Source organism: Homo sapiens, chromosome 7, assembly GCF_000001405.40.
Source record: "Homo sapiens chromosome 7, GRCh38.p14 Primary Assembly".
Classification (NCBI taxonomy): domain Eukaryota; kingdom Metazoa; phylum Chordata; class Mammalia; order Primates; family Hominidae; genus Homo; species Homo sapiens.
Genome location: NC_000007.14, coordinates 699,836 through 727,474, shown reverse-complemented (window position 1 = coordinate 727,474; position 27,639 = coordinate 699,836). Strand labels below are relative to the sequence as shown.

The following is a 27,639-nucleotide window of genomic DNA, read 5'->3' as shown; positions in this document are numbered from 1 at the left end:
CGGGTGGGGGAAGCGGCGCATGGGGGGTCCGGGATGTTGGGGGGTGCGGGCGTGGAGGGGGGCGGGGCCGAGCCGCGGGGGTTGTGAGAGGGGCCGCGGAGGTGGAGGTGGGGGTGAGAGTGTGGGGTGGCGTGTGGGAGCGGGGCCCGGGGTGCTCACCGGGCGTGGCCTGCGCCAGGGCGGCGGCGCAGCTGCAGCTCTCGCGGCGCACGGCGGCGAAGGGGTCGAGCAGGGAGCAGCGCAGCGCGCGCAGAGCGTCGTCCAGGTGGGGCGCGAGCGCGGCGCCGCACAGGTCCACGGCCAGGCCCAGCAGCTGCACAAGCGCCAGGCGCAGCTCCTCACAGGCCTCGGGCGGGCGGCGCGCGGGCACGGGGCCGGCCAAGCGCGCGGCGAGCGCGGGCAGCAGGCGCGGCAGGGCATCGCGGGGCCGCGCGGCGCGGCGCAGGCCCAGATCCAGCAGGTGCACTGCCAGCGCGCGGCAGCCCTCGGCGGGGTCGCTCAGGCAGCGCAGCAAGCGCGGCAGCAGTAGGCGCGCCCAGGGGCCCTGGAAAGCGGTGGGGTCGGCGGCAGGGCCTGGCTCCTCCAGCGCGCGCCGCAGGGCCTCCAAGGCGCGCCGCCGGCCCGGCTTGCTGTCGGCCTCCAGCCCCGGCAGCAGGCGGCTCAGGGCGCGGCTCAGCTCCACCGCCTCAGCCGTCTCGGCCCCCTCAGCCGGGTGTGGGGCCGCCACGGCCTCCGCCACCCCCAGCGCCGCCATCTTGCCCGCGTCGCCGGTCACTAAGGGGAACAGCGCTTTCGCGACTCTCAGCGCAGATTACGGCAGCACTTCCGGTCCGCGCTGCGGGCGGGGCGCCGGGCTACTTCCTCCCCGCCGGTGCGCACGTGGGCCTGTGCTCTTGTCGTGCTCGCCCGCTGTCCCCCTCTGTCGCCGGAACCCCCGCCAGCCTGCCTGCTGGGCCTTGTCCTGTCCCCATTGTACAGATGGGGAAGGTCTCGGGAGGGTGCAGCTCGCCCGGGATGCGGGTCCCGGGCTATAGGCCTGGGCCTGCCCCTAGGGAAGCCTGCCCTGCAGCCTAGGGGGCTTGGAGAAGGAACCTGAGTGGTCCCGCCTGGGACCAGGGTAGCCGGGAAGCCCCTGTTTGAGCCGCCTAGAGCCCCTCTGGCTTTGGGAAGGTCCGTTCCAGGAGGGAAGGACGCTGGTTCTGTGGACTGGATCCCCCTGTGGTGTAAGACAGGTGCCTGGTCTGGGCTTCACGTGCAGCCTGTCATTAGATCTCAGGCGTAGCCGCCCAATAGGTTCGCCTTACTCGCTGCCCAGGTAGAGCCAATTTATCAAGACAGGGGAATTGCAATAGAGAGTTTAATGCATGCAGAAACTGGCTGCATGCAGAAACTGGCTGCATGCAGAAACTGGCTAAAGGACACTGGAGCTTTATTGCTCAAACCAGGTTCTGAAAATCCTGAGATGGGTCATCTAAGGATAATTAGGCAGGTAGGGGGCCAGGGAGAGGGCAGTGCTTATTGGTCGGGTTGGAGATGAAACCATGGAGAGTCAAAGTTGATTCTCTTGCTGTCTTCTGTTCCTGGGTGGGATCACAGAACTGGTTGAGCCAGATTAGTGGTGTGGGTGGTGGCACCTGGTGCATCAGAATGCAGAGCCTGAAAAATATCTTGAGCACCAATCTTAGAGTTGATGATAGTGGTGTTATCCTAAGGAGCAACTGGGGAGGTTTGGAATCTTGTGGCCTCTAGCTGCATGACTCAAACCACAATTTCTAATCTTGTGGCTCATGTGTTAGTCTTACAAAAGCATTCTGGTCCCCAGGCAAGAAGGAGGTTGGCTTCAGGAAAGGGCTGTTATCATCTTTGTTTCAAAGTTAAACTATAAACTAAGTTCCTCCTAAAGTTAGCTTGGCCTACTCCCAAGAAATAACAAGGCAGCTTGGAAATTAAAAGCAAGACAGTGTTTCACAGTAGTGACCTTGACTGTGGACTTGAGTGGAGACAGAGGCGCCTAAACAGCTTGGAGTCGGAGTTGCTGTGAGCCCAGCCTAGAACGCGAGTTTGACAGCACTCACTGCAAACCAGGAGTCCCCAAGTCTGGTTAGCCAGGCACTTCTCATCTGTGACCATGCACTGAGTTTTCTAAAGGCAGAATGTGTGTAATTTTAGGACAGAACTTCAAGTTTGACCTTCTTTTTTGTTGTTGATCTTCGTGTTGCAAAATGGTGGTGTTTGTCGGTACGTCTTTTTTTTTTTTTTTTGAGATGGAATCTTGCTCTGTCGCCCAGCCTGGAGTGCAGTGGCGCGATCTCCGCTCACTGCAGACTCTGCCTCCCAGGTTCATGCCATTCTCCTGCCTCAGCCTCCCAAGTAGCTGGGACTGCAGGTGCCCACGACCACGCCCAGCTAATTTTTTGTATTTTTAGTAGAGACGGGGTTTCACTGTGTTAGCCAGGATGGTCTCGATGTCCTGACCTCGTGATCCGCCCGCCTCAGCCTCCCAGAGTGCTGGGATTACAGGCGTGAGCCACCACGCCCGGCCCATCAGTACTTCTGAAAAGTTGTTATGTAGCATATTCAGTAACCTTCATTCATTGTTTCCTCCAACAGGCATTTGTTTGACCAGGCACTGTCTGCAACATGTGGGACAGGATGACAATGATGTAGAAACTGGCCATGGTCCCTGCTCTCCCAGATCTTAGGGTCTTGCAGGATGAGATAGCCCTTAATGGAAGGATAAATTAGTATGTGTTTAACCGTGGTGGTCCTGAGAGAATGAGTGTCAAGGGATGTTGAACTAGACTTTTAAGGCTTCCCTGAACAAATGGTAGCAGAGGTGAAATATGAAGAATAAGTAAACACAGTGTATTAGTCCATTTTCACGCTGCTAATAAAGACATGGCCGAGACTGGGTAACTTATACAGGGAAAGGTTTACTGGACTCACAGTTCCACATGGCTGGGGAGGCCTCACAATGATGGCCGAAGGCGGGAAGGAGCAAGTCACATCTTACATGATGGCAGCAGGCAAAGAGAAAATGAGAGAGCCTGTGCAGGGAAACTCCCCCTTATAAAACCGTCAGATCTCGTGAGACTTATTCACCATCATAGGAACAGCACAGGAAAGACCTGCCCCCATTATTCAGTTACCTCCCACTGGGTCCTTCCCACAACACGTGGGAATTGTGGGAGCTACAATTCAAGATGAGATTTGGGTGGGGACACAGCCAAACCATGTCACATAGCCAGGTGAAAGGGCGGAGGTGGGAGACGGGGAGTGTTGGAGAGAGAGGAAATAGCATGAGCAAAGGCCTCATGGGAGTGTTACGGGCTGAATGGCGTCTCCCCAAAATTCATATGCTGAAGTCCTAACCCCCATAGTTCAGGAAGTGATCCTGTTTGGAGACAAGGTCTTTGCAGACGTGATTGAGGTGAGATGAGGTCATGAGGTTGGGCACTCATCCAATATGACTGCTGTCCTCATAAAAGGAGAAATTTTGGAGATAGACGTGCATACAGGGAGAATGCAGTATGAGCATGAAGAGAGACCTCAAGAGGAGCCAGCCCGTACCCTGATCTTGAGAAATCAAATTTGTTTCATTCAGCTGCCCAGCCTGGTGTGCTTTGTTACGGCAGCCTCAGGTAGCAAACAGGGAGGGAGGCTGACCCTGGTCACAGGGGAGCAGGCAGGGAGTGAGCAGATGGGTGGGGCCAGGCCATGGGGGCCTCTGTCCTAAAACATGGCAGACTGAGGATTTCAAGGTGGGAGCATTGGCAAGATCGAGTCTGCATTTTTCAAGGACCCCTTTGGCTTCCGTTGAACGGATTGGTCGGGAGCCCTGGGAAGGCTGTGGCAGTGAGTGCTGAAGACGAGAAAGAATAAGCGCTTGAATTACGGTGGTGGGACTTCACTTTTCCTTGCTCCTCCCATTGAAATACAACAAAATACCCTGCACATAGCAGGCGACGAGGAAAGGAGCTTGAGAGTTGACAGACGGGCTGGAGACCTCTGGACTGGAGGAATAGCAAGGTGGTGGGTCCCCTGGGTTTTCTTTTTCTCTCATGTGTTCCTGCACTAGTCCCCAGGGAAGCCTGTGGCCCAGAACAGCCAACAGGCACAGACAGAAATTCTCCAAGGAAAGCCTCCTCTCTCTGGCCAAAGCCCTGGGAAAGGGGACGCCCAACAGAGACCTAGAGGGTAGCTGCCACCTTCACCCCACAGTCTGCTTTCAGGGCCGATTTTAAAGCTGCTGCAGGTGCATTAACCTGTGCTGTGCAACTGGGGTTCGAGTGGACAGTCTGCACTGCACAGGTAGTGTCAGAGGAGCCTGAAATCTGCCCTTCCTCTCTTAGCACAAAGAGACCCAGAACGAGCATGTTCTGTCCTGACACAGCAAAAGGTAGCCCAGTGACACCAGGCGGCCCAGGGAGGTACCTTTCACCCCTGCAGGCAGCACCCATGGGAAATGAGCAGCAGTCCCAGGAGAGCCAGAAGAATAAAGCAGACGAGGAGGGCAGTGCCAGGGCTCTGAAGACGAAACTGCTGTTGGAATGACAGACCACAAAAACAGGCTGCAATCTACACCCTGGACCTGAACAGAGCAACTGCCTGGTGGAATAGAGTAGGACAAGGAGTCTGCAAACATCGTAACCCAAATGTCCAGGATACATCTGGAGATCACTTGTCATACCAAGAACAAGGAAAGCCACAACCTGAACATGGTAAGGTAACGGATGTAAATTCCAAGATAGGTCACATGTTGGAATCATCTGCCAAGAATTTTAAAGCAGAGTCATAAGAACCAGCTGGGCGCGGTGGCTCACGCCTGTCATCCCAGCACTTTGTGAGGCCAAGGCGGGCAGATCACCTGAGGTCAGGAGTTTGAAACCAGCCTGGACAACATGGTGAAACCCCATCTCTACTAAAAATACAAAAATTAGCCAGGCGCGGTGGCTCACGCCTGTCATCCCAGCACTTTGTGAGGCCAAGGCAGGCAGATCACCTGTGGTCAGGAGTTTGAAACCAGCCTGGATAACATGGTGAAACCCCATCTCTACTAAAAATAGAAAAATTAGCCAGGTGCAGTGGCTTACGCCTGTCATCCCAGCACTTTGTGAGGCCGAGGCGGGCAGATCACCTGAGGTCAGGAGTTTGAAACCAGCCTGGACAACATGGTGAAACCCCATCTCTACTAAAAATACAAAAATTAGCTGGGTGTGGTGGTGGGTACCTGTAATCCCAGCTACTCGGGGAGGCTGAGGCACGAGAATTGCCTGAACCCAGGAGGTGGAGGTTGTAGTGAGCCAATATCATGCCACCGCACTCCAGCCTGGGTGACAGAGCAAGACTCCATCTCAAAAAAAAAAAAAAAAAAAAAAGGCTGAAAACTCCCCCAATTCAATGAAAAACATAAATCCACAGATTCCAGAAGCTCAACAAGGCTTCATAGGACAAGCCCTCCAAAAACCCCATACTAAGACACATCACAATTAAACTCCTGGAAACTAAAGACAGAAGGAGGAAAAGTACTAACTGACAGAGAGAAATAATGCCTTGCCTAGAGAGGAACACCAGTTTGAATGAAGGCAGATTTCTTAACCAAAACCACAAAAGGCCAGAAAGAAGTGACCTGCCATTGTTCAACTGTAAAGGGGAAAGAGCTGTTGACTGTGAGTCCTCTACCCAGCAAAACTATCCTTCAGGAATGGAAGAGGAGTAAAGATGTTCTCAGACAGGCAAACTAATAGAATTTATTGCTAGCAGACCTACCTTTAAGGAATGCATAAAGGATACCCTGTAAACAGAAAGGTAATTTTTTTTTTTTTTGAGACGGAATTTCGCTCTTGTTGCCCAGGCTGGAGTGCAATGGTATGATCTCAGCTCACTGCAACCTCTGCCTCCCAGGTTCAAGCAATTCTCCTGCCTCAGCCTCTCGAGTAACTGGGATTACAGGCATGTGCCACCATGCCCGAGTATTTTTTTATTTTTAGTAGAGACAGAGTTTCTCCGTGTTGGTCAGGCTGGTCTTGAACTCCTGACTTCAGGTGATCCACCTGCCTCAATGCCCCCCAAAGTGCTGGGATTACAGGCGTGAGCCACCGTGCCCGGCCCAGAAAGATAATTTTAACAGAAGAGGGCTGGGGCCTCCAGAAAGTTGAGACAATGGACTGGATAAAAATAGAAGTCAATGTCACTGACCATCTTTCACCTCATGAGTTTCTTTAATCATATTTGATGATCGAAGCAAAAATTACAACACTCATGTGGTGTGTGATGTATGTGGAGGAAATATCTACAGCTAGGTATTTAACAGTGAGAAGGGTTAGGGACTTAAGTGGAAGGAAGGTTTGTCCACTCACTCAAGGTGGAAAATCATAGATGCCGATAGACCGATGGGTTGCATATGTATATGGTGATATCCTCAAAAACATAACGTGGAATTCTAAAAAACATTCAGGTATCCCACAGTAAAGCATGAGAGAACAGATGATTAAATGGCAAGCGTAAGCCCTAATATATCACTAATTTAAATGTAAATGGCCTAAACACACCAATTAGAAGACAGAGGTTCGCCACGTGGATACAAAACATGACCCAACTGTATGATGTCTACTATATGCTGAAGCTCACTTCAAACATAATAACATAGGCACATTGAAAGTAAAAGGATGGCAAAAGAGTATCATGTAAACATAAATTTTAAAAAGCGGGAGTGGCTGTTGAAATTCCTTGGGAAAAAGAGGGACATTACATAATGATAAAAGAACCCACTGGGAAGATAACAGCAATCCCAAATGTGTGTACAGCAAACAACAGACCTTCAACATGTATAAAGCAGAAACTGATAGAGCTGAAAGGAGGAAGAGACAAGCCTGCTGTTGCAGTTGACGACTTCAGCCCCCAACTCAGCAGCTGCTAGAATAACTAGGCAGATAGTCATTAAGGTATAGCAGAGCAACACCATCAACCAACAGGATCTAATTGACGTTTGCAGAACACACCACTCAACAATCGCAGAATTCACATTATTTTCTAGTGTCCTCAGAACAGAGACCAAGATATACCATATCCTGGGCCATAAGGCAAACCTTAGCAAATGTAGAAGACTTGCACAGAGGGCTGGGCGCGGTGGCTCACACCTGTTATCCCAGCACTTTGGGAGGCCGAGGCAGGCGGATCACCTGAGGTCAGGAGTTCAAGACCAGCCTGGCCAACATGGAGAAATCCTGTCTTTACTAAAAATGCAAAAAATTAGCTGGGTGTGGTGGCACGCACCTGTAATCCCAGCTACTCTGGAGGCTGAGGCAGGAGAATCACTTGAACCCAGGAGGCGGAGGTTGAAGTGAGCCAAGATTGTGCCACTGCACTCCAGCCTGGGCAACAAGAGTGAAACTCCCTCTCAAAAAAAAAAAAAAAAAAAAAAAGACTTGCACAGAACGCCTTCTCTGACAATAATGGAATCACACTTACCATCAACAGCAGATAGCAGGAAAATCTTCACACATGGAGATTAGACAGTTATTCTACTCAGAAAGAATTGCTGCACGCAACTTGGACGAACCTCTAAAAGATTATGCAGATGAAAACCAATCCCAAAGGGATATTTTGTGGTTTTGTTTGTATGACATCCATAAAGTAACAGAGATGGGGAACAGATGACTGATCTCCTGGGGCTAGGGATGGGGTGGCGTGATTATTAAGGGTCACTAGGAGGGAGCCTTGTGGAGCTGGTACAGTATAGTACCTGGATTGTGGTGGCAACTGCATGAATACCCAGAGGGGTCATGACCTCTCTTCTTTCCCCAGACACACTGCCAGACGGAATAGCTATAAACTGGATGACAGAAGCAGGGCAGTAGGACAGGAGGGCCAACACGTTACAACAAATGAAACAGGCCTTGGGATGCTGAGACGGGAGAATCACTTGAGGCCAGGCATTCACGTCCACCTGGGCCAAATAGTGACACCTCGTCGCTACAAAGAAATATTAAAACTTAGCTGGATGCAGTGACTCACACCTGTAGTCCCAGGTACTTGGGAGGCTGAGGCAGGAGGATTGCTTGAGCCCAAGAGCTTGAGACCAGCCTGGGCAACATAGTGAGACCCCCATCTCTACAAAAAGAATACAAAATTATGGCCGGGCACAATGGCTCATGCCTGTAATCCCAGCACTTTGGGAGGCTAAGGCGGGTGGATCACTTGAGCTCAGGAGTTTGAGACCAGCCTGGCCAAGAGGGTGAAACCGCGTCTCTACTAAAAATACAAAAATTAGTCGGGTGTGGTGGCAGGCACCTGTAATCCCACCTACTCGGGAGGCTGAGACAGGAGAATTGCTTAAGCCTGGGAGGCGGAGGTTGCAGGGAGCTGAGATCAGGCCACTGCACTCCAGCCTGGTGACAGAGCAAGACTCCTTCTCAAAAGAAAAAGAAAAAATAATAAGCTGGGTGTGATGGGGTGCACCTGTAATCCCAGCTACTCAGGAGGCTGGGGTGGGAGGATCACTTGGGCCAGGAAGGTTGAGGCTGCCAAGAGCTATGATCATGCCACCGCACTCCAGCCTGGATGACAGAGCGAGACCTTATCTCATCAAAAAAAAAAAAAAAAAAAAAAAGCCTATAAAAGAGATGAAGTTCTGTATGTTACCAAAATGAAACAGGAACAAGAAGTATGTAAGAGAAAAGGTCAGGGATATGGAGAACAGAAGCAACAATGCTAATATCTGTTGAATAGATGTCCCAGGAAGGCAGAAGAAAAGTGGGAAGTAGGAGGTATTTGAAGGGATAATGAAGGCACATTTTCTAGACTTAAAAATGGGTCAGGTCAGGTGCAGTGGCTCACGTCTATAATCCCAGCACTTTAAGAGGCTGAGGCGGGTGGATCACCTGAGGTCAGGAGTTCGAGACCAGCCTGGCCAACATGGTCAAACCCCGTCTCTACTAAAAATACAAAAATTTGCTGGAAGTGGTGGTGCCCACCTGTAATCCCAGCTACTTGGGAGGCTGAGGCAGGAGAATTGCTTGAACCCAGGAGCCAGAGGTTGCAGTGAGCTGAGATTGTGCCACTGCACTCCATCCTGGGTGACAGAGCAAGACTCTGGAAAAAAAAAAAAAGGCTGAAGCAGGAGGAGATATATATATATATATACATACATACATATATATGTATGTATATATGTGTATGTGTGTGTGTGTGTGTGTGTGTGTGTGTGTGTGTGTGTGTATCTATAAAGCTTCCCCCAGTGAAGGCCTGGGGCCGGCTGTCTGTGGGTCAGGAGTCCAGGCATGGCTTTACTGGGTCCTCTGAAGGCTGCAATCCATGCTGGGGCTGCATTCTTATCTGAGGCTCGACTGAGGAAGGGACCGTTCCCAAGTGCACTTGGTTGTTTCCAGCATTCACTTTCTTAGCTGTGGACTGGAGGCCACCCTCAGCTCCTGGCCACGGGGTCCTCTTACAGCCACTGATGAAAGGGCAGCTGGCTTCCTCAAAGCCAGCAAGGGAGAGAGTCCCCTGGCAAGGCAGATGTTGCCATGAATCATATGTGATGCTCACTCCTCACCTTTGCTGTACCCCACCGGGCAGGGGTGAGCCTCAGGACCTACACACACTCAAGGGGAGGGTACCCCACAAGCCATGAGCACTGGGAGGTGGGGACCCTGTGGCCATCTGAGAGTGCCTGCCACACCCAGGAGCCATGTGTAGAGAAGACTATTGAGGTTTGTGGCAAAATTTCCCGTGAAATTTTGCATCCCTTACCTACATAGTGAACAATGCAAAACTTGAATATTAGAGAACATTGTGTGTGTGGGTGTGTGGTTTTGAGGCAAGGTCTCACTCTGTTGCCCAGGCTGGAGTGCAGTGGCGCAATCATAGCTCACTGCAGCCTCGAACTCTTGTGTTCAGGTGATCCTGCCACCTTAGCCTCCTGAATAGCTGGGACTACAGGTGTGCACCACCATGCCTGGCTAATTTTTGTATTTTTTTGTAGAGACAGGGTCTTGCTCTGTTGCCCAGATGGGTCTTGAACTCCTGGACTCAAGTGATCCTCCTCTTTTGGCCCCGCAAAGTTCTGGGATTGCAGGCATGAGCCACGATGCCTGGCCACATTGTTATTTTCTTTTCTCTTTTCTTTTCTTTTTCCTTTCTTTCTTTCCTTCTGTCTCTCTCTCTTTCTTTCTTTCTTTTTTTGAGACTGGGTTTCACTCCTGTTGCCCAGGCTGGAACGGAGTGGCATGCTCTCAGCTCACTATGACCTCTGCCTCTTGGGTTCAAGTGATCTTCCTGCCTCAGCCTCCCAAGTAGCTGGGACTACAGGCACGGCACCACACCTGGCTAATTTTTGTATTTTTTGTAGAGATGGGGTTTCACCATGTTGCCCAGGCTGGTCTCGAACTCCTGGCCTCAGGTGATCTGCCTGCCTTGGCCTCCCAAAGTGCTGGGATTACAGGTGGGAGGCACTGCGCCCGGCTGGAGAATAATTATTACTGTTCACGGTTCTTGGGCTCCTACTATGTGCTGCGTGCTCCATGCTCAGCCTCTCAGTCCTCATTCCTCGTATATCCACCTAGATTTGAGGATGAGTGGCCTCTCCCATCAGCCACAATCACATGCAGTTTCTCCTCTATCCTCAGCTCAGGGAGCATACGGACGTTGCGCAGTGAATGCAGCTGGCTGGGGAAGGCTCAGGAACCGCACCCAGGAAGCCCACCTACAGATCCCACCTCAAACCACGACATGCTGCAGCCTCCCCAGTGGCCAGAGCAGCTTAACAAAGCATCTTTGTTTCCTTTCTGCACCCCAGAAAATAGCTGTGTTGGTCTCTTCGCCATGCAGAGTGAATAAAGAATAAGACAAACACCATCCATGCATACTTGGTGCTTTTGACCTAGCAGGGGAGACAGCAATTAAGCTGGCAGCCTTGCCGTCATTATTCAATTGCACGTGTAATAAGAGCTACCAAGGAGAAGTCCTGGGAGCCCCGGGCCCTCCAGAGGCAGTGCTGGCGCCTTAGGGAATTTCCCTGTGTAACGTTTTGGTTGAATCTTGGAGGGTGAATTGGAGCTGACAGAGCAAAGTTTAGAAGTGCGAGGTATGTGGTGATTGGGAAAAGAATGTGGCTTCGGACCGGGTGCGGTGGCTCATACCTGTAGTCCCAGCACTCTGGGAAGCTGGTGGGAGGATTGTTGGAGGCCAGGAATTCGAGACTAGCCTAGGCAACATAGTGAGATTTTTTTTTTTTACAAAAAAAAAAAAAATGTTTTTAAGTACCAGGTGTGGCGGTGTGCACCTGTGATCCCAACTACTCTGGATGTTGAAGTGGGAGGATGGCTTGAGCCCAGGAATTTGAGGCTGCAGTGAGCTATGATCACACCACTGCACTCCAGCCTGGGCGACAGAGTGAGACCCTGTCTCAAAACAACAACAAAAAGATTTAAAAAAAAAAATATATAAAGAATGTGGCTAGGCCGGGTGCGGTGGCTCACGCCTGTAATCCCAGCACTTTGGGAGGCCAAGGCGGGCGGATCACGAGGTCAGGAGACCGAGACCATCCTGGCTAACACGGTGAAACCCCATCTCTACTAAAAATACAAAAAATTAGCCGGGCGCGGTGGCGGGCGCCTGTAGTCCCAGCTACTCGGGAGGCTGAGGCAGGAGAATGGCGTGAACCCGGGAGGCGGAGCTTGCAGTGAGCAGAGATCACGCCACTGCACTGCAGCCTGGGTGACAGAATGAGACTCTGTCTCAAAAAAAAAAAATAAAATGTGGCTCTTTGGTTGGAGTTCTGCAAAGCGTGGTCACTGTAAGTACATTTAGTCATGATGAATCCTACAGGCACATTCTATGGGTGAAGTAAGACCCCACAGGGCTTAGAAATGTGAATACCTTTGCTGAGAAAAATAACCTACCCCAGGGGGTAGGTCCTTCCCTATGGGAAGATATGTGATTTACTGGGACTTCTGAATGGGTAACCCAGTCACCAGCAGCACATTTTCAGTTGAGGGCATAGCTGCTTGGGCACAGTGTCACACGTCAGGGTTTGTCACCGTGTGGCAGGGTGGCGACCGACCTGTTGAGGTCCACGTGGTCCGATGACCAAGCGCAGCTCCTCTGAGCTCACCAGACCCCTCTTTGTGTCTTCATCCAGGAGCATTTAATGGGGTTGTCAGTGTGTGTTTTGGGGGGATTGTGTCAGATCAGTGGTGTATTCACTTGGATGTCCTCAGTGGCGACTAACAAAAAGCAAAAAGCCAACGGGCTCAGGCAGTAGTACGAGGTATTTATTTATTATTTATTTATTTCGAGACGGAGTTTCGTTCGCTCTTTTGCTGCCCAGGCTGGAGTGCAGTGGTACGATCTGGGCTCACTGGAGTTCAAGTGATTCTCCTGCTTCAGCTTTCTGAGTAGCTGGGGATTACAGGCGTGCATGACCATGCCCGGCTAATTTTGTATTTCTAGTCGAGACAGGGTTTCGCTATGTTGCCCAGGCTGGTCTTGAACTCCTGACCTCCAGTGACCCACCTGCCTCGGCCTCCCAAAGTGCTGGGATTACAGGTGTGAACCACCGCATCCGGCCAAAGGTATTTATTGATGAACATAATTGGGAAGTCCAGATACGGGAAGGGCCTCAGGTTTGGTTTGAGGACGGCCGTGGCTCCATTTCTCTAGGATCCTGTTTCTTCCCACTTCTGTGTTGATTTCATCCTCTGGCAATGATCAGACAGTGAGCAGGACACTAAGGAAGCGTCTGTCCTTGGCTCAAGCCAGTAAGGCTGAAGCAAGAGAGGCCTGGGAGTCAGGCAGAAACTTGTCTGCAGGTTGGGGCGGTGGGGGCCACGCCTCGCACTCCTACCAGAGCCAGTCTGGAGAGGGAGTCCTTGTGTGGGGTGGGGGCCACTGGAACAGGGATCTGAGTGGCGGGGAAAAGTGTGAAAGAGAGAGGCAGTGGGAGCTGCCGTCGTGGCAATGAGGAGAGGAGCTCAGCAGACGTCACAGCTCAGTGGGGCCAGGGGCCGCATGTCTGGCTGGCCACGTGCATGCTGCCAGCCCCCAAACCTGGGAGATCCTTGTCTCAAAAGGACGCAGGCAAGGAGGCTCAGCCTGAGGAGGTATTGCAGCAGAAGGAGGGCTTGTGTGTGCGCCTCGGGATCAGAGGGCTGTCCTGTGAGGTCAGCCAGAGAGGTGCCTCCACTCTCCTCTAGAGGCACGGTGTGGGGGAAGTCTTTACAGGGAGTCTCCAGAGAACCCCAGGACAGCCCGGGAGAGAAGCAGCCAGGCCTGGAGCATCTGCCCCCCGAAGCGAGACGTCGCCTTGGTTAGGTGGCACCTGGGTCTTTTTTGCTGTCCTCACCAGTCTACCCTGGAGGAGCAGGAGTAATTGGAGGAGGAGGAGGAGGGAGTGGAGGGGCCGCGGGGAGCACGTGATGGTACTGCTGGTCAGCAGCAGCTCCAGGCAGGCCAGGGCTGGGAGAGCCAGAGGTCTGAGTGGGTTGTGGGATGGAGTTCTAATTCAGAGACCAGGCCTGGATCCCTAAGAAAGTCTCAGGACAAATGCAGGTCTGCCTGAGACGGGGCTGGGGCCAGTGGGTGCTGAGGGTGAGGGCTGAGGACCAAGGACCTTCGTGTTTGACCCCCGAGGGTGGCCTGCTTGGTTTACGTTCACCCTGGCAGGAAGAGGCTGAGGCAATGTCAGCCCTGCTGGGGAATGTGCTCGGCAGGGCTGGTGACCTGTGTAGTGCCTGTGCAGGCAGGTGAGTGGGAGACAGCTGAGCAATGAACAAGAAAGCTGGACAGGTGAGTGTGGACCAGGTGAGCATGGGAGGGCTGAGTGAGAGACGGTGAGTGTGTACAGGTGAGTGTGGACCAGGTGAGCATGGGAGGGCTGACTGGGAGACGGTGAGTGTGTATACGTGAGTGTGGACCAGGTGAGCATGGGAGGGCTGAGTGGGAGATGGTGTCTGTGTACAGGTGAGTGTGGAAAAGGTGAGCAAGAGACGGGTGAGTGGGAGATGGTGTGTACGGGTGAGTGGGAGACAGGTGAAGATGGGGCAGCATAGTGGGAGACAGGTGAGTAGGCAACAGGGAAGCCGGGCAGGTGAGTGCAGGACCCGGGGGCTGGACAGGCGGGTGGAGGATCCGGGGGCTGGGCAGGTGGGTGGAGGACCCCGGGGGTAGACAGGTGAGTGTGCACAGGGAGGCAGGTATCATCTCCTTCACAGCTGGAACTGCCTACCCCTCTCCTGGCATTTGGAGCCTCTGGGGAGGGAAGATGGAGTTTCTGCCGCCGCCACCCTGGCAGGATGGGGCAACGGTGTGCGGTAGGAGGATGAGGTTGATTCCCTTTCCTGCAGGGCTGGGCTTGTGGGTTAGGACCGTCACCAAGAGGCTCCTCCTAGGCCTCCGTGACCTCTGGATCCCCAAGAAAGGTGGGAAAGAATTTAGGAGGGTTCCGATTTCCCACTGGGCATCGGGGTGAAGCTGGTGCGCCTAAGCGCTGGGAGTCACCTGGGGAAGCGGGGCTGGGCCCACCTGGCCACCCTCTCTGGCCGCTAAGGCAGAGTGAGACCCCAGGGAACGGGCGTGCTTGCTGGGTACCGGGTGTCCTGCAGAGGCAGGGATGTGATCCCCTAGGTGTGAGCAGCTCAGGCAGCCGCGGTGGTCGTGAACGGGGCGGGAGTGGGGGGTGCCCAGGCCATCAGAGGCGGCCCCGCGGCCTGCACCGGCTGGAGTGGGCGACTCAGAGTCTGAGTGGAGGGGGCGGGGGGCGGCGACAGCGGGGGGTCCTGGCAGCGATGGCCTGAACCTGCGCCGGTGGGGGATGGGGCGGGGGCGGGGAGAGCCGGGGGTGGGGGCCGGGGTTGGGGGCCCCGCGGGGAGGCGGTCGGGGGGAGACGGGCTGCAGGCCCGCGCGGGCGGCGTTGGGGGTGCAGCAGCTGCGCGCGGCGCGGGGGCGGGCGTGGAGGGCGGCGCCGCTGCAGTGCGGGGACCCGCTCGCTCGCTCGCCAGCCGTCCCCGCGCCCCGCGTCCCCGCGCAGCCGCCTCCTGGCCTCGGGCGCCGCGCATCCAGGTACGCGGGGCCGGGCTGGGGTCTGCGCCGGGAGCCCCGGGCCTGGGAGGCCCCCCGGGGATGCGGACATTTGGAAGGGTTCGGCCCCGCCGGGAGTGGGGCGCGCGGGGCGGGGCCGGGCCTGGGGCTCCCGGTCAGGGGTCCCGGGAGGGTCCTCGCCGGCGCTGAGGCCGGGTTTGGGGCGGGGGGCGCGGGGTCTCTGGGTGGGCGCCTTCCCGGCGGTCTGGGCACTCCGGGGGCGGCGTGGCGGGGGGCTGGGGTCCTGCGCCCCGCGGTGCGGTGCCGGCCTGGCCTGGCCATGGTGACTTCGCTGCGCGGCCGCCGCATTTGTTCTCCCGCACCCCACCCCCCCACCACCGCCAGCTTCCCTTGTTTACCTGCGTTTCTGTCTTTTCCTGTGCAGAGGCCGCCCCAGCCCATCCACAGTCTCACCCTCATCTCCCCCTCCCCTGAGGCCGCGCGCAGGGGCCCCCAGCATTCACATTTCACATAAGTGCCCCCAAAAAGGGGGGATGGAGGAGGACGAGGCCCTGGAACCCCCCGGCTGGACCCTCAGGGCGCCGGGCCCCCCCACTCTTCCCACCCGGAATCCTCAGAACTGCAGAAGGGGCTTCTCAGCCGCGTGCACCCCTGTCTGCCTGAGCCCCCTCCCCCCCTGCCTGAGCCCCCTCCACCCCTGCCGGGGGTCTGTGGGGAGGGAAGGCTCTGGGGGCCGTCACGTTTAACACCTCACCTGGCCCCACAGAATGAAAGATCTTTGACAAATGCAGAATCAGTGACTTTCTTCCACGCTCCTGGGAGAAGCCTGGTTCACGCCGCCTGCGTTTATCCGGCGCGCAGCCCCGGGCAGCTCTCAGGCCTGGGGATCTGTGTGTTTTCTGGACAGGAAGGAAGCAGCCACCCTCGCCATGGCCTCCCCGCCCGCCTGCCCCTCGGAGGAGGACGAGAGCCTGAAGGGCTGTGAGCTGTACGTGCAGCTGCACGGGATCCAGCAGGTCCTCAAAGACTGTATCGTCCACCTCTGCATCTCCAAGCCCGAACGCCCCATGAAGTTCCTCCGGGAGCACTTCGAGAAGCTGGAGAAGGTGAGTGGCCCCCGCCGCCCGCTGCTTCCCTTCGCACGTGTCCTGGGGCAGAGGCGGCAGCCGGGGAAGCCTTCCCTCTGTCCCGTGGTCCTCGAAGGCTGGGTGCCCCAGAGACTGTCTGCCGTCCTGCAGGTCCTTCCAGAAGCGCGGGGAGAGAGGCCGACCTGGGGCCCACCGTCCCTTGTTTGGTCTCCCGAGATTCATGCCTCTAGGTGGGGTCCTCTGAGCCACAGAATTCCCCCTTCGGCTTCCAGGGGGTTCCAGGTCTTCAGAGCTCTCCTGGAAGGAGGTTCAGGGTTTTAGGTCCAGGTGTTTCGCTAGCTTGTGGGGCTCACCGACAGTTTTCAGCCTAGTTACAGATGCTGTCACCACTTGGGATAAAATAGCTCCCACGGGGTAGCTCACACCTGTCATCCCAGCACTTTGGGAGGCCGAGGCGGGCAGATCACTTGAGGTCAGGAGTTCGAGACCAGCCTGGCCAACATGGCGAAACCCCCTCTCTACTAAAAATACAAAAATTAGTTGGGTGTGGTGGCGGCGCCTGTAATCCCAGCTACTGGGGTGGTTCAGGCAGGAGAATTGCTTGAACCGGGAGGTGGAGGCTGCAGTGAGCTGAGATCGCACCACTGCACTCCAGCCTGGGCGACAGAGCGAGACTCCGTCTCAAAAAAAAAAAAAAAAAAAAGGAAAAAGAAAATAGCTCCCATGGCTAAGGTGATGTGGGGTTTGAGGTCGAATTCCACGTTGATCTTGCAGCAGTGGGAGAGGAAAGTACCCTTCGGCACGTGTGGTCGGGGAGAAGCTCAGGCCTGCTCACGGTCTTCTCTCCGGGAATGATGCCTCTCACCCCCTTCCTGGCCTCCTGCATCTGGGCTCTTTTCGTAGACGTGCGTGCCTGGGAAGTGGAGGCCGGGACAGGAGCCCCTGTGACACCTCCTGCTGTGTCCCCTCCCCCTCGCCGTGGGCTCCTCCTGTCCTTGTTCTGGGCCCCACCCCAGGCTGTCTGCGTATCACCTAATGTTTCTCCTCTTGGTCCTTTTATCACAACTTAACTATCTCCTGTGCCCATCTCTCCTGGGGACCAAATGGGAACTTGGGAAGCCCAGTTCAGGCTAAGATCTGCCTTTGAGTGCCTGTGAGCCACCAGGTCCCCATCCGGCGGTGTTTATGCTTTCGACAGGGGCCTCCTGTGATCACATAGTCCTAACCCAAAGGAGTGAATATAACTCTTCCCTTGGAAGCAGTCCATGCAAAAACATTTTAAAGTAATGCATATGCCTATTAAGGGAAATTTGAAAAGTTCGGAAGTGGAAAGAAGAGATAAAAACGCTCTGTAGTCCTCTCCACCGAATTCCCCCTCAAATGTTTTTATAAAAACGTAGTTGTAGGCCAGATACGGTGGCTTATACCTGTAATCCCAGCATTTGGAAGGTCGAGGTGGGAAGATCACTTGAGGTCAGGAATTCGACCTTGTCTCTCAAAAACATTTAAAAAGTTTGCTGGGTGTGGTGGCACCTGCTTGTGGTCCCAGCTACCCAGGGGCTGAGGTGGGAGGATCACTTGAGCCCAGGAGTTTGAGGCTGTGGTGAACCATGATCACACCACTGCACTCCAGCCTGGGCAACAGAGCGAAACCCTGTCTCAGAAATACATACACACGGCTGGGTGCAGTGGCTCACGCCTGTAATCCCAGCACTTTGGGAGGCTGAGGTGGGCAGATCACGAGGTCAGGAGATCGAGACCATCCTGGCTAACACAGTGAAACCGCGTCTCTACTAAAAATACAAAAAATTAGCCGGGCGAGGTGGCAGGCGCCTGTAGTCCCAGCTACTCAGGAGGCTGAGGCAGGAGAATGGCGTGTACCTGGGAGGTGGAGCTTGCAGTGAGCCAGGATGGCGCCACTGCACTCTAGCCTGGGCGACAGCGAGACTCCGTCTCAAAAAAAAAAAAAAAAAAAGAAATACATACACACACACATGCATACACACATGCATACACACACATACATACATGCATACGTGGATACATACGTACATAAGTCTTAGTTGCAGTCACGTTATAGATGCAATTCGTATTTTGTATTTTTCATTTTTTATATATTCTTTAAAGACCTCTCTTTAAGTGACTGCATAATGTTATACTAAGGTTTTTCAACCTTTCCTCCGTGAGTGAATGGACAATTGAGTTGTTTCCTTTTTTTTTTTTTTTTTTTTTTTTTTTAGTATTAAATATTGGGGCTGGTGGGTGCGGTGGCTCACACCTGTAATCCCAGCAATTTAGGAGGCCGAGGCAGGTGGATCATGAGGTCAGGAGTTTGAGACCACCTTGACCAACACAGTGAAACCCCGTCTCTACTAAAAATACAAAAATTAGCCGGGTGTGGTGGCACGCACCTGTAATCCCAGCTACTCAGGAGGCTGAGGCAGGAGAATTGGCTTGAACCCGGGAGGTGGAGGTTGCAGTGAGCAAAGATGCGTCACTGCACTCTGGCCTGGGCGACAGAGGGAGACTCCGTCTCAGAAAAAAAAAAAAAAAAAATTGGGGCCGGGCACAGTGACTCATGCCTGTAATCCCAGCACTTTGGGAGGCCCAGGAGGGTGGATCGCTTGCACACAGGAGTTGGAGACCAGCCTGGCCAACGTGGTGAAACCCCATCTCTACTAAAAATACAAAAATTAACTGGGCGTGGTGGCATGTGCCTGTAATCCCAACTACTTGGGAGGCTGAGGCGGGAGAATTGTTTGAACCAGGGAGGCGGAGGTTGCAGTGAGCTGATTGCAACACTGCCCTCCAGTCTGGGCAACAGAGCGAGAGTCTGTCTCAAAAATAAATAAATTTTTTAAAAAAGTATATGGGAGGATGTGTGTAGGTTACATGCAAATATGACACCATTTTATATCAGGGACTTCAGCATCCATGGGTTCTGGTTATCCTTAGAGATTCTAGAACCATCTCCCATGGATACCAGGGGATGACTGTACCACACACCGGGCATCTTAAACAGAAATGTCTCCTCCCACAGTTCTGGAGGCTGAAAGTCTGAGATCAAGGTGTATTGGGATGGCTCCTTCTGGGTCTGTGTGGGAGAAGGAGATCTTAGGTGGTCCAGGCTGGAAGTCCGAGATCGAGGTGTATTGGGATGGCTCCTTCTGGGTCCGTGTGGGAGAAGGTTCTATGTCTCCCCCGGCTCTGGGTGGTTCTGGCGATTTTGGGTGGTCCGGGCTGGAAGTCCGAGATTGAGGTGTATTGGGATGGCTAATTCTGGGTCCGTGTGGGATAAGGTTCTGTGTCTCCCCTGGCTCTGGGTGGTGCTGGTGATCATCTTGGGTGGTCCAGGCTGGAAGTCTGAGATCAAGGTGTGGTGGGATGGCTCCTTCTGGGTCCGTGTGGGAGAAGGTTCTGTGTCTCCCCCGGCTCCAGGTGGTGCTGGTGATCATCTTGGGTGGTCCAGGCTGGAAGTCTGAGACCAAGGTGTGGTGGGATGGCTCCTTCTGGGTCCATGTGGGAGAAGGTTCTGTGTCTCCCCCAGCTCCGGGTGGTGCTGGCGATTGTGGGTGGTCCAGGCTGGTAGACGCATCGCGGGTCCTGCCTTCATCTTCACATGGTGTTCTGCCCCCTGACAGTGTCTGTGTCCAGATTTCCCCTTCTCATAGGGACACTAGTCATCCTGGACCAAGGCCACCCCAATGACCTCTTGTAACTTCCTCACCTCCGTCAAGACCCTGCCTCCAAGTAAGGTCAACTTCTGAGGTTCTGAGGTTCTGAGGTTCTGAGGTTAGGACTCCAGAATGTCTATTTCTGGGGACACGATTCACGGATCCCAGCGGCCTTCTTGGGCGTGGGCAGGGCAATTTTTCTCAGGCCTTCCTCCAACAGCAAGCCTTTGCTGAGTGAAAATAGCAGGTTGCAAGACAGGATCTATGGTACAATTCCATTTTTGTCGAAAGGGTTGCCGACAATAATGTGTTATATGCAAAGAAAAAAATCTGAGGGGCGTCCGCCAAAATGTTGAAAAGAGTGGCGTCTCAGGGCACGATTGCAGGTGATTTTTGTTTGTTTTCTGCAGTAGCTGATAGGGACAGGCATTGGGGAGCTTTAGTGAAGTCTTTGAAGTTGCATGCGTGTTCTACATGTGGGTGCGTTTAACTGGGAAGAATTCCTCTTAGCTTGCGATGGATTCTCAAATGGAGCTGAGATCCCCAAATATAAACCAGCTAACAGGGCCCTAAAATTCCATGGAGTCTCATTTCCTGCTGCGTGTTCTGGACCAGTGAGGTGCTGTGGAATGTTTACAATAGAACCGGGAAGTGTGCCTCTGGGTAGGGCGGCAGCCCTGGTGGAGAGGGTGAGGTCTGGGCCACCCCCTCGAGGCCAGCCAGGGCTGAGTGGAGGGCAGAAGCCCCTGATGGAGGATTTTTCTTCACTTGTATCCCAAGCAGGGTGCATGTTTGTGAGGCTTTCATAAAGCACCTGGGATAAAACACAGGCCAGCAGGGATGGCCCAGCTCTTGGAGTGCCGTCCGGGCTGGGCCTCTGGTGCTCTGGCCTTCGTGAGTGAGTTCTTCTGTGGTGGAGACTTAAGCAGATAAAATATTCCTTATTTGGGCCGGGCGCGGTGGCTCATGCCTGTAATCCCAGCACTTTGGGAGGCTGAGGCGGGCGGATCACGAGGTCAGGAGATCGAGACCATTCTGGCTAACACAGTGAAACCCTGTCTCTACTAAAAAAAAAAAAAAAAAAAAATTAGCTGGGCATGGTGGCGGGTGCCTGTAGTCCCAGTGAGAGGCTGAGGTAGGAGAATTGCTTGAACCCAGGAGGTAGAGGTTGCAGTGAGCCCAGATCGCGCCACTGCACTCTAGCCTGGGTGATAGAGCGAGACTCCGTCTCAAAAAAAAAAAAAAAAAAATTCCTTATTTGATGGCAAAACACAGCGTGGGAGTTTCCCCAGCAAGATGTGATCTTTCCGAAGATTATCCAAAATGACACCATCAATCTTCTTTTTTGAGACAGGGTCTGGCTCTGTTGTCCAGGCTAGAGTACAGTGGTATGATTTCAGCTCACTGCAACCTCCACCTCTCAGGCTCAAGCCATCTTCCCACCTCAGCTTCCTGAGTAGCTGGGAGTACCGGTGCCCACCACCATGCCTGGCTAATTTTTGTATTTTTTGTGGAGACGGGATTTCGCCATGTTGCCCAGGCTGGTCTTGAACTCCTGAGCTCAAGCGGTCCTCCCCACTCGGCTTCCCAAAGTGCTGGGGTTATAGATGTGAGCCACCACGCCCGGCTCATCTGTTTTTCTTTTCGAGACAGAGTTTTACTCTTGTTGCCCAGGCTGGAGAGCAGTGGCACAGTCTCAGCTCACTGCAACCTCTGCCTCCTGGGTTCAAGCAATTCTCCTGCCTCAGCCTCCCGAGTAGCTGGGATTACAGGCGCCTGCCACCACGCCCGGCTAATTTTATATTTTCAGTAGAGACGGGGTTTCAGCACGTTGGTCAGTGTGGTCTTGAACTCCTGACCTCAGGTGATCCACCTGCCTCGGCCTCCCAGTGTGTTGGGATTAGAGACGTGAGCCACAGTGCCCGCCTCATCTGTGTTTTTCTGCATCAACAGGTCCTGCATTTTTATTGCCGGCAGTGTTCTGTTGCATAGATGGATTGCAGCTTGTCTGTCCTGTACCCTGTCTAGGAACACTTGGATCCTTTCCAGTTTTTGCCAACTACAAATAAAGCTGCTATAAATATTCGTCTTACAGGTTTTTAATGTGGAAGTAGGTTTTTATTTCACTTGAGTAAATATTTAGTAGTGAGATTCCTGGGTCATAGGGTAAGTGTATGTTTATAAGAAACTGCCAAACTGTTTTCCAGAATGTCTGTCCTATCTCGTGTTCCAAGCAGCCGTGATTCTTGTTCCTCAGTATCGGCAGCCTTTGATACTGTCAGTTTTAAAAAACGTTTAGCCATTCTAATAGGTATATGGTGGCACCTAAAATGTTTTTTTTTTTCTTTTTTCTTTTTTTTTTTTTTAATTGAGACAGAGTCTTGCTCTGTCACCCAGGCTGGAGGGCAATGGCGTGATCTCGGTTTACTGCAGCCTCTGCTCCCCGCGTTCAGGTGATTTTCAAGCGATTTTCCTGCCTCAGCCTCCCGGATAGCTAGGATTACAGGCATGTGCCACCATGCCTAGCTAGTTTTTGTATTTTTAGTAGAGATGGGGTTTCACCATGTTGGCCAGGTTGGTCTTGAACTCCTGACCTCAGATGCTCCACCCGCCTCAGCCTCCCAAAGTGCTGGGATTACAGGCGTGAGCCACTGCGCCCGGCCCTAAAGTGGTTTTATTTTACATTTCCTGATGACTAAAGTTGTTGAGGATGTTTTCATACGCTTATTTTCCACTCAAATATCTTCTTTGGTGAAGTGTCTGTTCATGTATTTTGTCCATTTTTCTTATTAGGTTGTCTGTTTTCTTACTACTGAGTTTCAGAATTTTTTATAAACTGTCAGATATTTAATTTACAAAATATTTTCTTCTAGTATGTGGCTTGTTTATTTATTTATTTACTCCGAGACAGAGTCTTGCTTTGTTGACCAGGCTGGAGTGCAGTGGTGCGATCTTAGCTCACTGCAACCCGCCCCTCCTGGGTTCAAGTGATTCTCCTGCCTCAGCCTCCCGAGTAGCTGGGATTACAGGCATCGCGCCTGGCTCATTTTTGTATTTTTGGTGGGGACGGGATTTCACCATGTTGGACAGGCTGCTCTCGAACTCCTGACCTCAAGTGATCCACCCGCCTCGGCCTCCCAAAGCGCTGGGATTACAGGCGTGAGCCACCGCACCCGGCCATAGTTTGTGTATTTCAAGGCATTGTTCCGTTTCATTTAAGTTGTTACATTTATCAATATAGAGTAATATTACCTCATCCTTTTAATGTCTGTAGTGTTTGTATTATTTCATTCCTGAGGTGGTTTTCTGAGATGGTTTTCATTCCTGAGACGGTAATTTCTGGCTTTTCTTTTTTGCTTGATCAGTCTGGCTAGAAGTTTATCAATTTTACTGATCTTTTCAAAGAGTTAGATTTTAATTTCATCGATTTTGTCTATTTTTGTTTAGATTTTATCTGTTTCTCCTCTTATTTTTATTATTTCATTTCTTCTTCAGTCTTTGGGTTTTATCTGTTCTTCATAAAATTTCTTAAGGTGAAATTTTAGATGATTAAGGCTTTTTATCTGATAGAAATATATAATGCTACAGATTTTTCTCTAAAGCACTGTTCTAACTATATTTCACAGATTTTGATGTGCTGTATTTTCATTTTCTATTTAGCTCAAAATATTTTCCATTTTACCTTGAGATTTCCTCTTTGGTTCATCTTATTTAGAAATTTGTTGTCTAATTTCCAAATATTTGGGGATTTTTTTGATATCTCTCTGTTATTTATTTCTAGTTTAATTTCATTATGGTCAGGGAACATAGCTTATATGGTTTTGAATCTTTATTTTGTTAAGGTGTGGTTTATGGCTGATCATATGCTTTATCTTGGTGAATATCACACGTGCCCTTAGAAACACTGTGTGCTGCTGTTGGGTGCTGTGTTCTGGAAATGTTGGTTAGGTCTGGTTGTTTGAGGGGTTGTTCAGGTTAGGGTCTTTTGCATTCCTGCTGATTTTTTTTTTTTTTTTTGAGACAGAGTCTTGCTCTGTTGCCCAGGCTGGAGTGCAGTGACGTGATCTCGGCTCACTCCAAGCTCCACCTCCCGGGTTCGTGCCATTCTCCTGCCTCAGCCTCCCAAGTAGCTGGGACTACAGGCGTCTGCCACCACGCCCAGCTAATTTTTTGTGTGTTTTTAGTAGAGATGGGGTTTCACTGTGTTAGCCACAGGAGATCGATGGTCTCGATCTCTTGACCTCGTGATCCACCCACCTCAACCTCCCAAAGTGGTGGGATTACAGGCATGAGCCACTGCACCTGGCCCATTCTTGCTGATTCTTTTTGGCCCCTTGCTATACCTACTACCAAAGAACAGCATTGAAACTTCCAATTATAATTTGTCTGTGTCTCCTTTAATTCTATCAGTTTTTGCTTTATGTGTTTTGGAGCTCTGTTATTAGTTGCATATACATTTGGGATTGCTATGTTTTCATGTGAATAAACCCTCTTATCATTATTCGATGTTTCTCTTTGTTCCTGGTAATTTTCATTGTTCTGAAGTCTGCTTTATCTGATATTAATACAGCCACATTATTAGGATTTGTGTGATTAATCTTTTTCTATCCTCTTATTTTAGCTATATCAGTAAAGTGTGTGTCTTATAGATAGCATATACTTGGTTTTCTTTTTTTATATGATTTGACAGTTTCTGTCTTTTAATTGGTGTGTTTAGATTATCCACTTTTTAAAAAGAAAATACTGTTTATTACTATATATGTAGTACATATAGTATATATAGTATAGTATATATTATGATGCATCTTTATTTATTTATTTATGTATTTATTTATTTACTTATTTTTTTGAGACGGAGTCTTGCCCCGTTTGCCCAGGCTGGAGTGCAGTGGCACAATCTCCGCTCACTGCGAGCTCCGCCTCCTGGGTTCACACCATTCTCCTGCCTCAGCCTCCCGAGTAGCTGGGACTACAGGCACCTGCCACCACACCCGGCAAATTTTTTGTATTTTTAGTAGAGACAGGGTTTCACCGTGTTAGCCAGGATGGTCTCGATCTCCTGACCTCGTGATCCGCCTGCCTCGGCCTCCCAAAGTGCTGAGATTACAGGTGTGAGCCCCACGCCCAGCCTATGATGCATCTTAATATGATTTTCTTTGAGTTTGTCTGGTTTCCCTTTGCAAATCTTGATGTTAATTTATGTCCTTCAAGAAATTTGGCAAGTTTTCAACCATTATTTTTTAAGATGGTTACTTTTATATATCTTACCTCATGTATAGATCATGTACATTTAATGTAATTATTGATATGGTTGGATTTAGGTCTACCATTTAATTATTTTTCTATTTGTTTTCTCTGTTTTTTTTCCTATGTTTCTTTTTTCCTTCCTTCTTTTAGATTATTTGATTATTTTTTAGTACTTACTGTCTTTTTTACTGTTTTTCTTTAAGTGATTGCTATAGGCATTATAATATACATACATAACTTTACACAGACTTTTTAGAGTTGATATTTTACCATTTCAAGTAAAACATACAAGTTTTCCATCACATAGGCCCATTTACCTTCCCCTTATTATTTCTGGTTGTTGTACGTATCATCTTTACACATGTTGAACTTTCCCCCACTCCCTTGACAATGTTATAATTTTTACTTTTAACACTTTCACGTATTTTCAGTAATTTAAGAGGGGCAAATAGTCTAGAAGATGTACCTGGGTATTTCCCATTTCTGTCACTCTTCCGTGGTTCCTGAAGTGTTTTTCTTTCCCTCTGTGATCATTTCCCCCACCAGCCTGAAGAACTCGCTTTAGCATTCCTCTTAGAGCAGGATTGCTGGTGACAGATTCTCAGTTTCCTTCATCTGAGAATCTCTCTGGTTTGCCTTCATTCCTGAAGGACAAGGACATGTTTACAGATACAGGATTCTGAGTGGAGAGTGATTTTATTTCAGCAGTTTAAAGATGTCTTCCCATTGTTCTTTATGGTTTCTGATGACAAATCAGCCTTTTGAACCCTCATTTGCTTTATGTTTCTTTTCTCTGGCTTCTTTCATGATTTTCCCTGTGTATTTAGTTTGTCAGAGTTTGAGTACAATGTGTCTGAGTTTGATTTTCTTTGAGTTTCTCTTGTTTTCCTTTGATCTTGAATCTGAATATTTATACCTTTCAACATATTTGAGAAGTTTTCAACCATCATGTCTTCAAATATATTTTTCTGTACCAATCTCTTTTTCCTGTCTTTCAGGGACTCCAGTGACATGAATGTTAGATTTTAAAATATTTTCCCGCAAGTCCCTGAGGCTCTGTTAAATCTCTTTCTTTCTTTCTTTTTCTTTTCTTTTCTTCTCTTTCTTTTCTTTCTTTCTTTCTTTTTCTTTCTTTCTTTCTCTTTCTTTCTTTCTTTTTTCCTTCTTTCTTTCTTTCCTTCCTTCCTTCCCTCCCTCCTTCCCTCCTTCTCTCCTTCCTTCCTTCTTTTCTTTTCTTTTTTTCAGAGTCTCGCTCTCTTGCCCAGGCTGGAGTGCAGTGGTGCGATCTCGGCTTACTGTAACCTCTGCCTCCTGGGTTCAGGAGATTCTCCTGCCTCAGCCTCCCGAGTAGCTGGGATTGCAGATGCGCACCACCATGCCCAGCTAATTTTTGTATTTTACTTAGAGATGGGGTTCAGCCATGTTGGCCAGGCTGCTCTCGAACTCCTGACCTGAGGTGATCCATCCACCTCGGCCTCCCAAAGTGCTGGGATTACAGGCGTGAGCCACGATGCCCTGCCCACCTGTCCTTTTGGTGGGATGATTTCTGTTGATCTCTCTTCAAACTCACAAGGTCTTTCCTCTGTCATATCCATTCTGCAAATGATCCCATCTAGTGAATTTAAGATTTTCTGTTACTTTATTTTTCAGTTCTAAAATTTGTATTTATTTTTCAGTTCTAAATTTATTTGGTAGTTCCTCCTCTTCCTACTCCTCCTCCTGTTCTCCTTCTCCTCCTTTCTTCTTCCTTTTTTTTTTAAATAAATTTGATTTCTTTGCTGATTCCCCCACCAATTCCAAGAGTATTCACCTTCACTTCATGGAAAATAGTTAAAATTGCTGCTTTAGAGTGTTAACCTGATAATCCCGTCATCTCTAGCATCTGAAGCTTGTCAGCCATGGGTTGTCTTTTCCTTTGAGAACTGGCCAGACTTTCCTAGTTCTTGATATGTTGAATAATTTGTCAAGGAACTGGATTATATCCTGGACATTTTCTATATTATGTTGTCAAGCTTTGAATCCCATTAAAATCCTATGGAGAGAGAATGTTGATATTTTTGTTTGTTTTGGCAGGAAATCAATTGACGAGGTCCATGCTGCAAGTTCTCTCTCATCCTTGGTGGGTGACGATGCCAACATGAGTTCCGTTTCCAAGCCTTTGGGGTGCTGCTTGGGCGCACCCTTGTGTGGGTCGCTTGGGGGCTGGTCTGGGACTTGGACATTGTTTTGCTTGCAGCTCAGTCCTCAGCACCTTTTCTGTGGTTCTCTGTGTTCTGTGCATACGAAACTTGGGGTTGAACCTCACACTCGTATCAGTTCATGGAATTCGGGGACCCCCATTTTGTCCTTTCTCCTCTGGGGTTTCTCTCACATTCTCCATGCAAGAGAGATCCTACCTCTGGCACACAGATATGCCTGTTTCTCTCCCTGCCGCCCCTTCCCCCGCCCACGCCGCTGTCCCCTCGGCTGAATGACTGCAGCAGCCTCTCTGCTTCCCATCGGGCCTCGAGCTCCATTTTCCATATCAGTCACAGCTGGAGCCATCTTCCAGAAACACAAATTGAACTGCTCCCCCTTCTTAAAACCTTCC

The 27,639-nt window shown here is 51.0% G+C and overlaps 2 protein-coding genes across 11 annotated transcripts in view, besides 4 other annotated features; one reads left to right on the top strand and one right to left on the bottom strand.

The window, feature by feature from the left end:
• Positions 1-776, bottom strand: part of DNAAF5 (dynein axonemal assembly factor 5) — a 59,777-nt gene extending 59,001 nt beyond the window's left edge. For all 3 annotated transcript variants that reach the window (NR_075098.2, NM_017802.4, XM_024446813.2), the window contains exon 1: positions 160-776. Coding sequence is in view for 2 of the 3 variants with exons in the window: in NM_017802.4 (NP_060272.3) it covers positions 160-754 (595 nt within the window). In the remaining variant the exon portion in view is untranslated. The remainder of the gene's footprint in view (positions 1-159) is intronic.
• The window catches only part of PRKAR1B (protein kinase cAMP-dependent type I regulatory subunit beta), a 179,738-nt gene that overhangs the window by 1,460 nt on the left and 150,639 nt on the right, over positions 1-27,639 (top strand). For 3 of the 8 annotated variants that reach the window (XM_047420607.1, NM_001164759.1, NM_001164758.2), the window contains exon 2: positions 15,948-16,146. In XM_047420607.1, coding sequence (XP_047276563.1) covers positions 15,970-16,146 — 177 coding nt within the window. In that variant the 5' untranslated portion in view covers positions 15,948-15,969. Of the gene's footprint in view, positions 1-193; positions 266-14,333; positions 14,421-14,534; positions 14,628-14,970; positions 15,062-15,120; positions 15,140-15,947; positions 16,147-27,639 lie in introns of those variants that run through there. The other 5 variants (NM_001164760.2, NM_001164761.2, NM_001164762.2 and 2 more) reach the window with 5 other exon arrangements.
• Positions 34-143: a silencer, noted in NCBI's record as "silent region_17818". NCBI's record gives its function as "represses an Ori minimal core promoter by ATAC-STARR-seq in GM12878 lymphoblastoid cells {active_cell/tissue: GM12878}" and the evidence as "EXISTENCE:reporter gene assay evidence [ECO:0000049][PMID:35858748]".
• Positions 204-253: a silencer, noted in NCBI's record as "silent region_17817". NCBI's record gives its function as "represses an Ori minimal core promoter by ATAC-STARR-seq in GM12878 lymphoblastoid cells {active_cell/tissue: GM12878}" and the evidence as "EXISTENCE:reporter gene assay evidence [ECO:0000049][PMID:35858748]".
• Positions 504-703: a silencer, noted in NCBI's record as "silent region_17816". NCBI's record gives its function as "represses an Ori minimal core promoter by ATAC-STARR-seq in GM12878 lymphoblastoid cells {active_cell/tissue: GM12878}" and the evidence as "EXISTENCE:reporter gene assay evidence [ECO:0000049][PMID:35858748]".
• Positions 14,918-14,997: a silencer, noted in NCBI's record as "silent region_17815". NCBI's record gives its function as "represses an Ori minimal core promoter by ATAC-STARR-seq in GM12878 lymphoblastoid cells {active_cell/tissue: GM12878}" and the evidence as "EXISTENCE:reporter gene assay evidence [ECO:0000049][PMID:35858748]".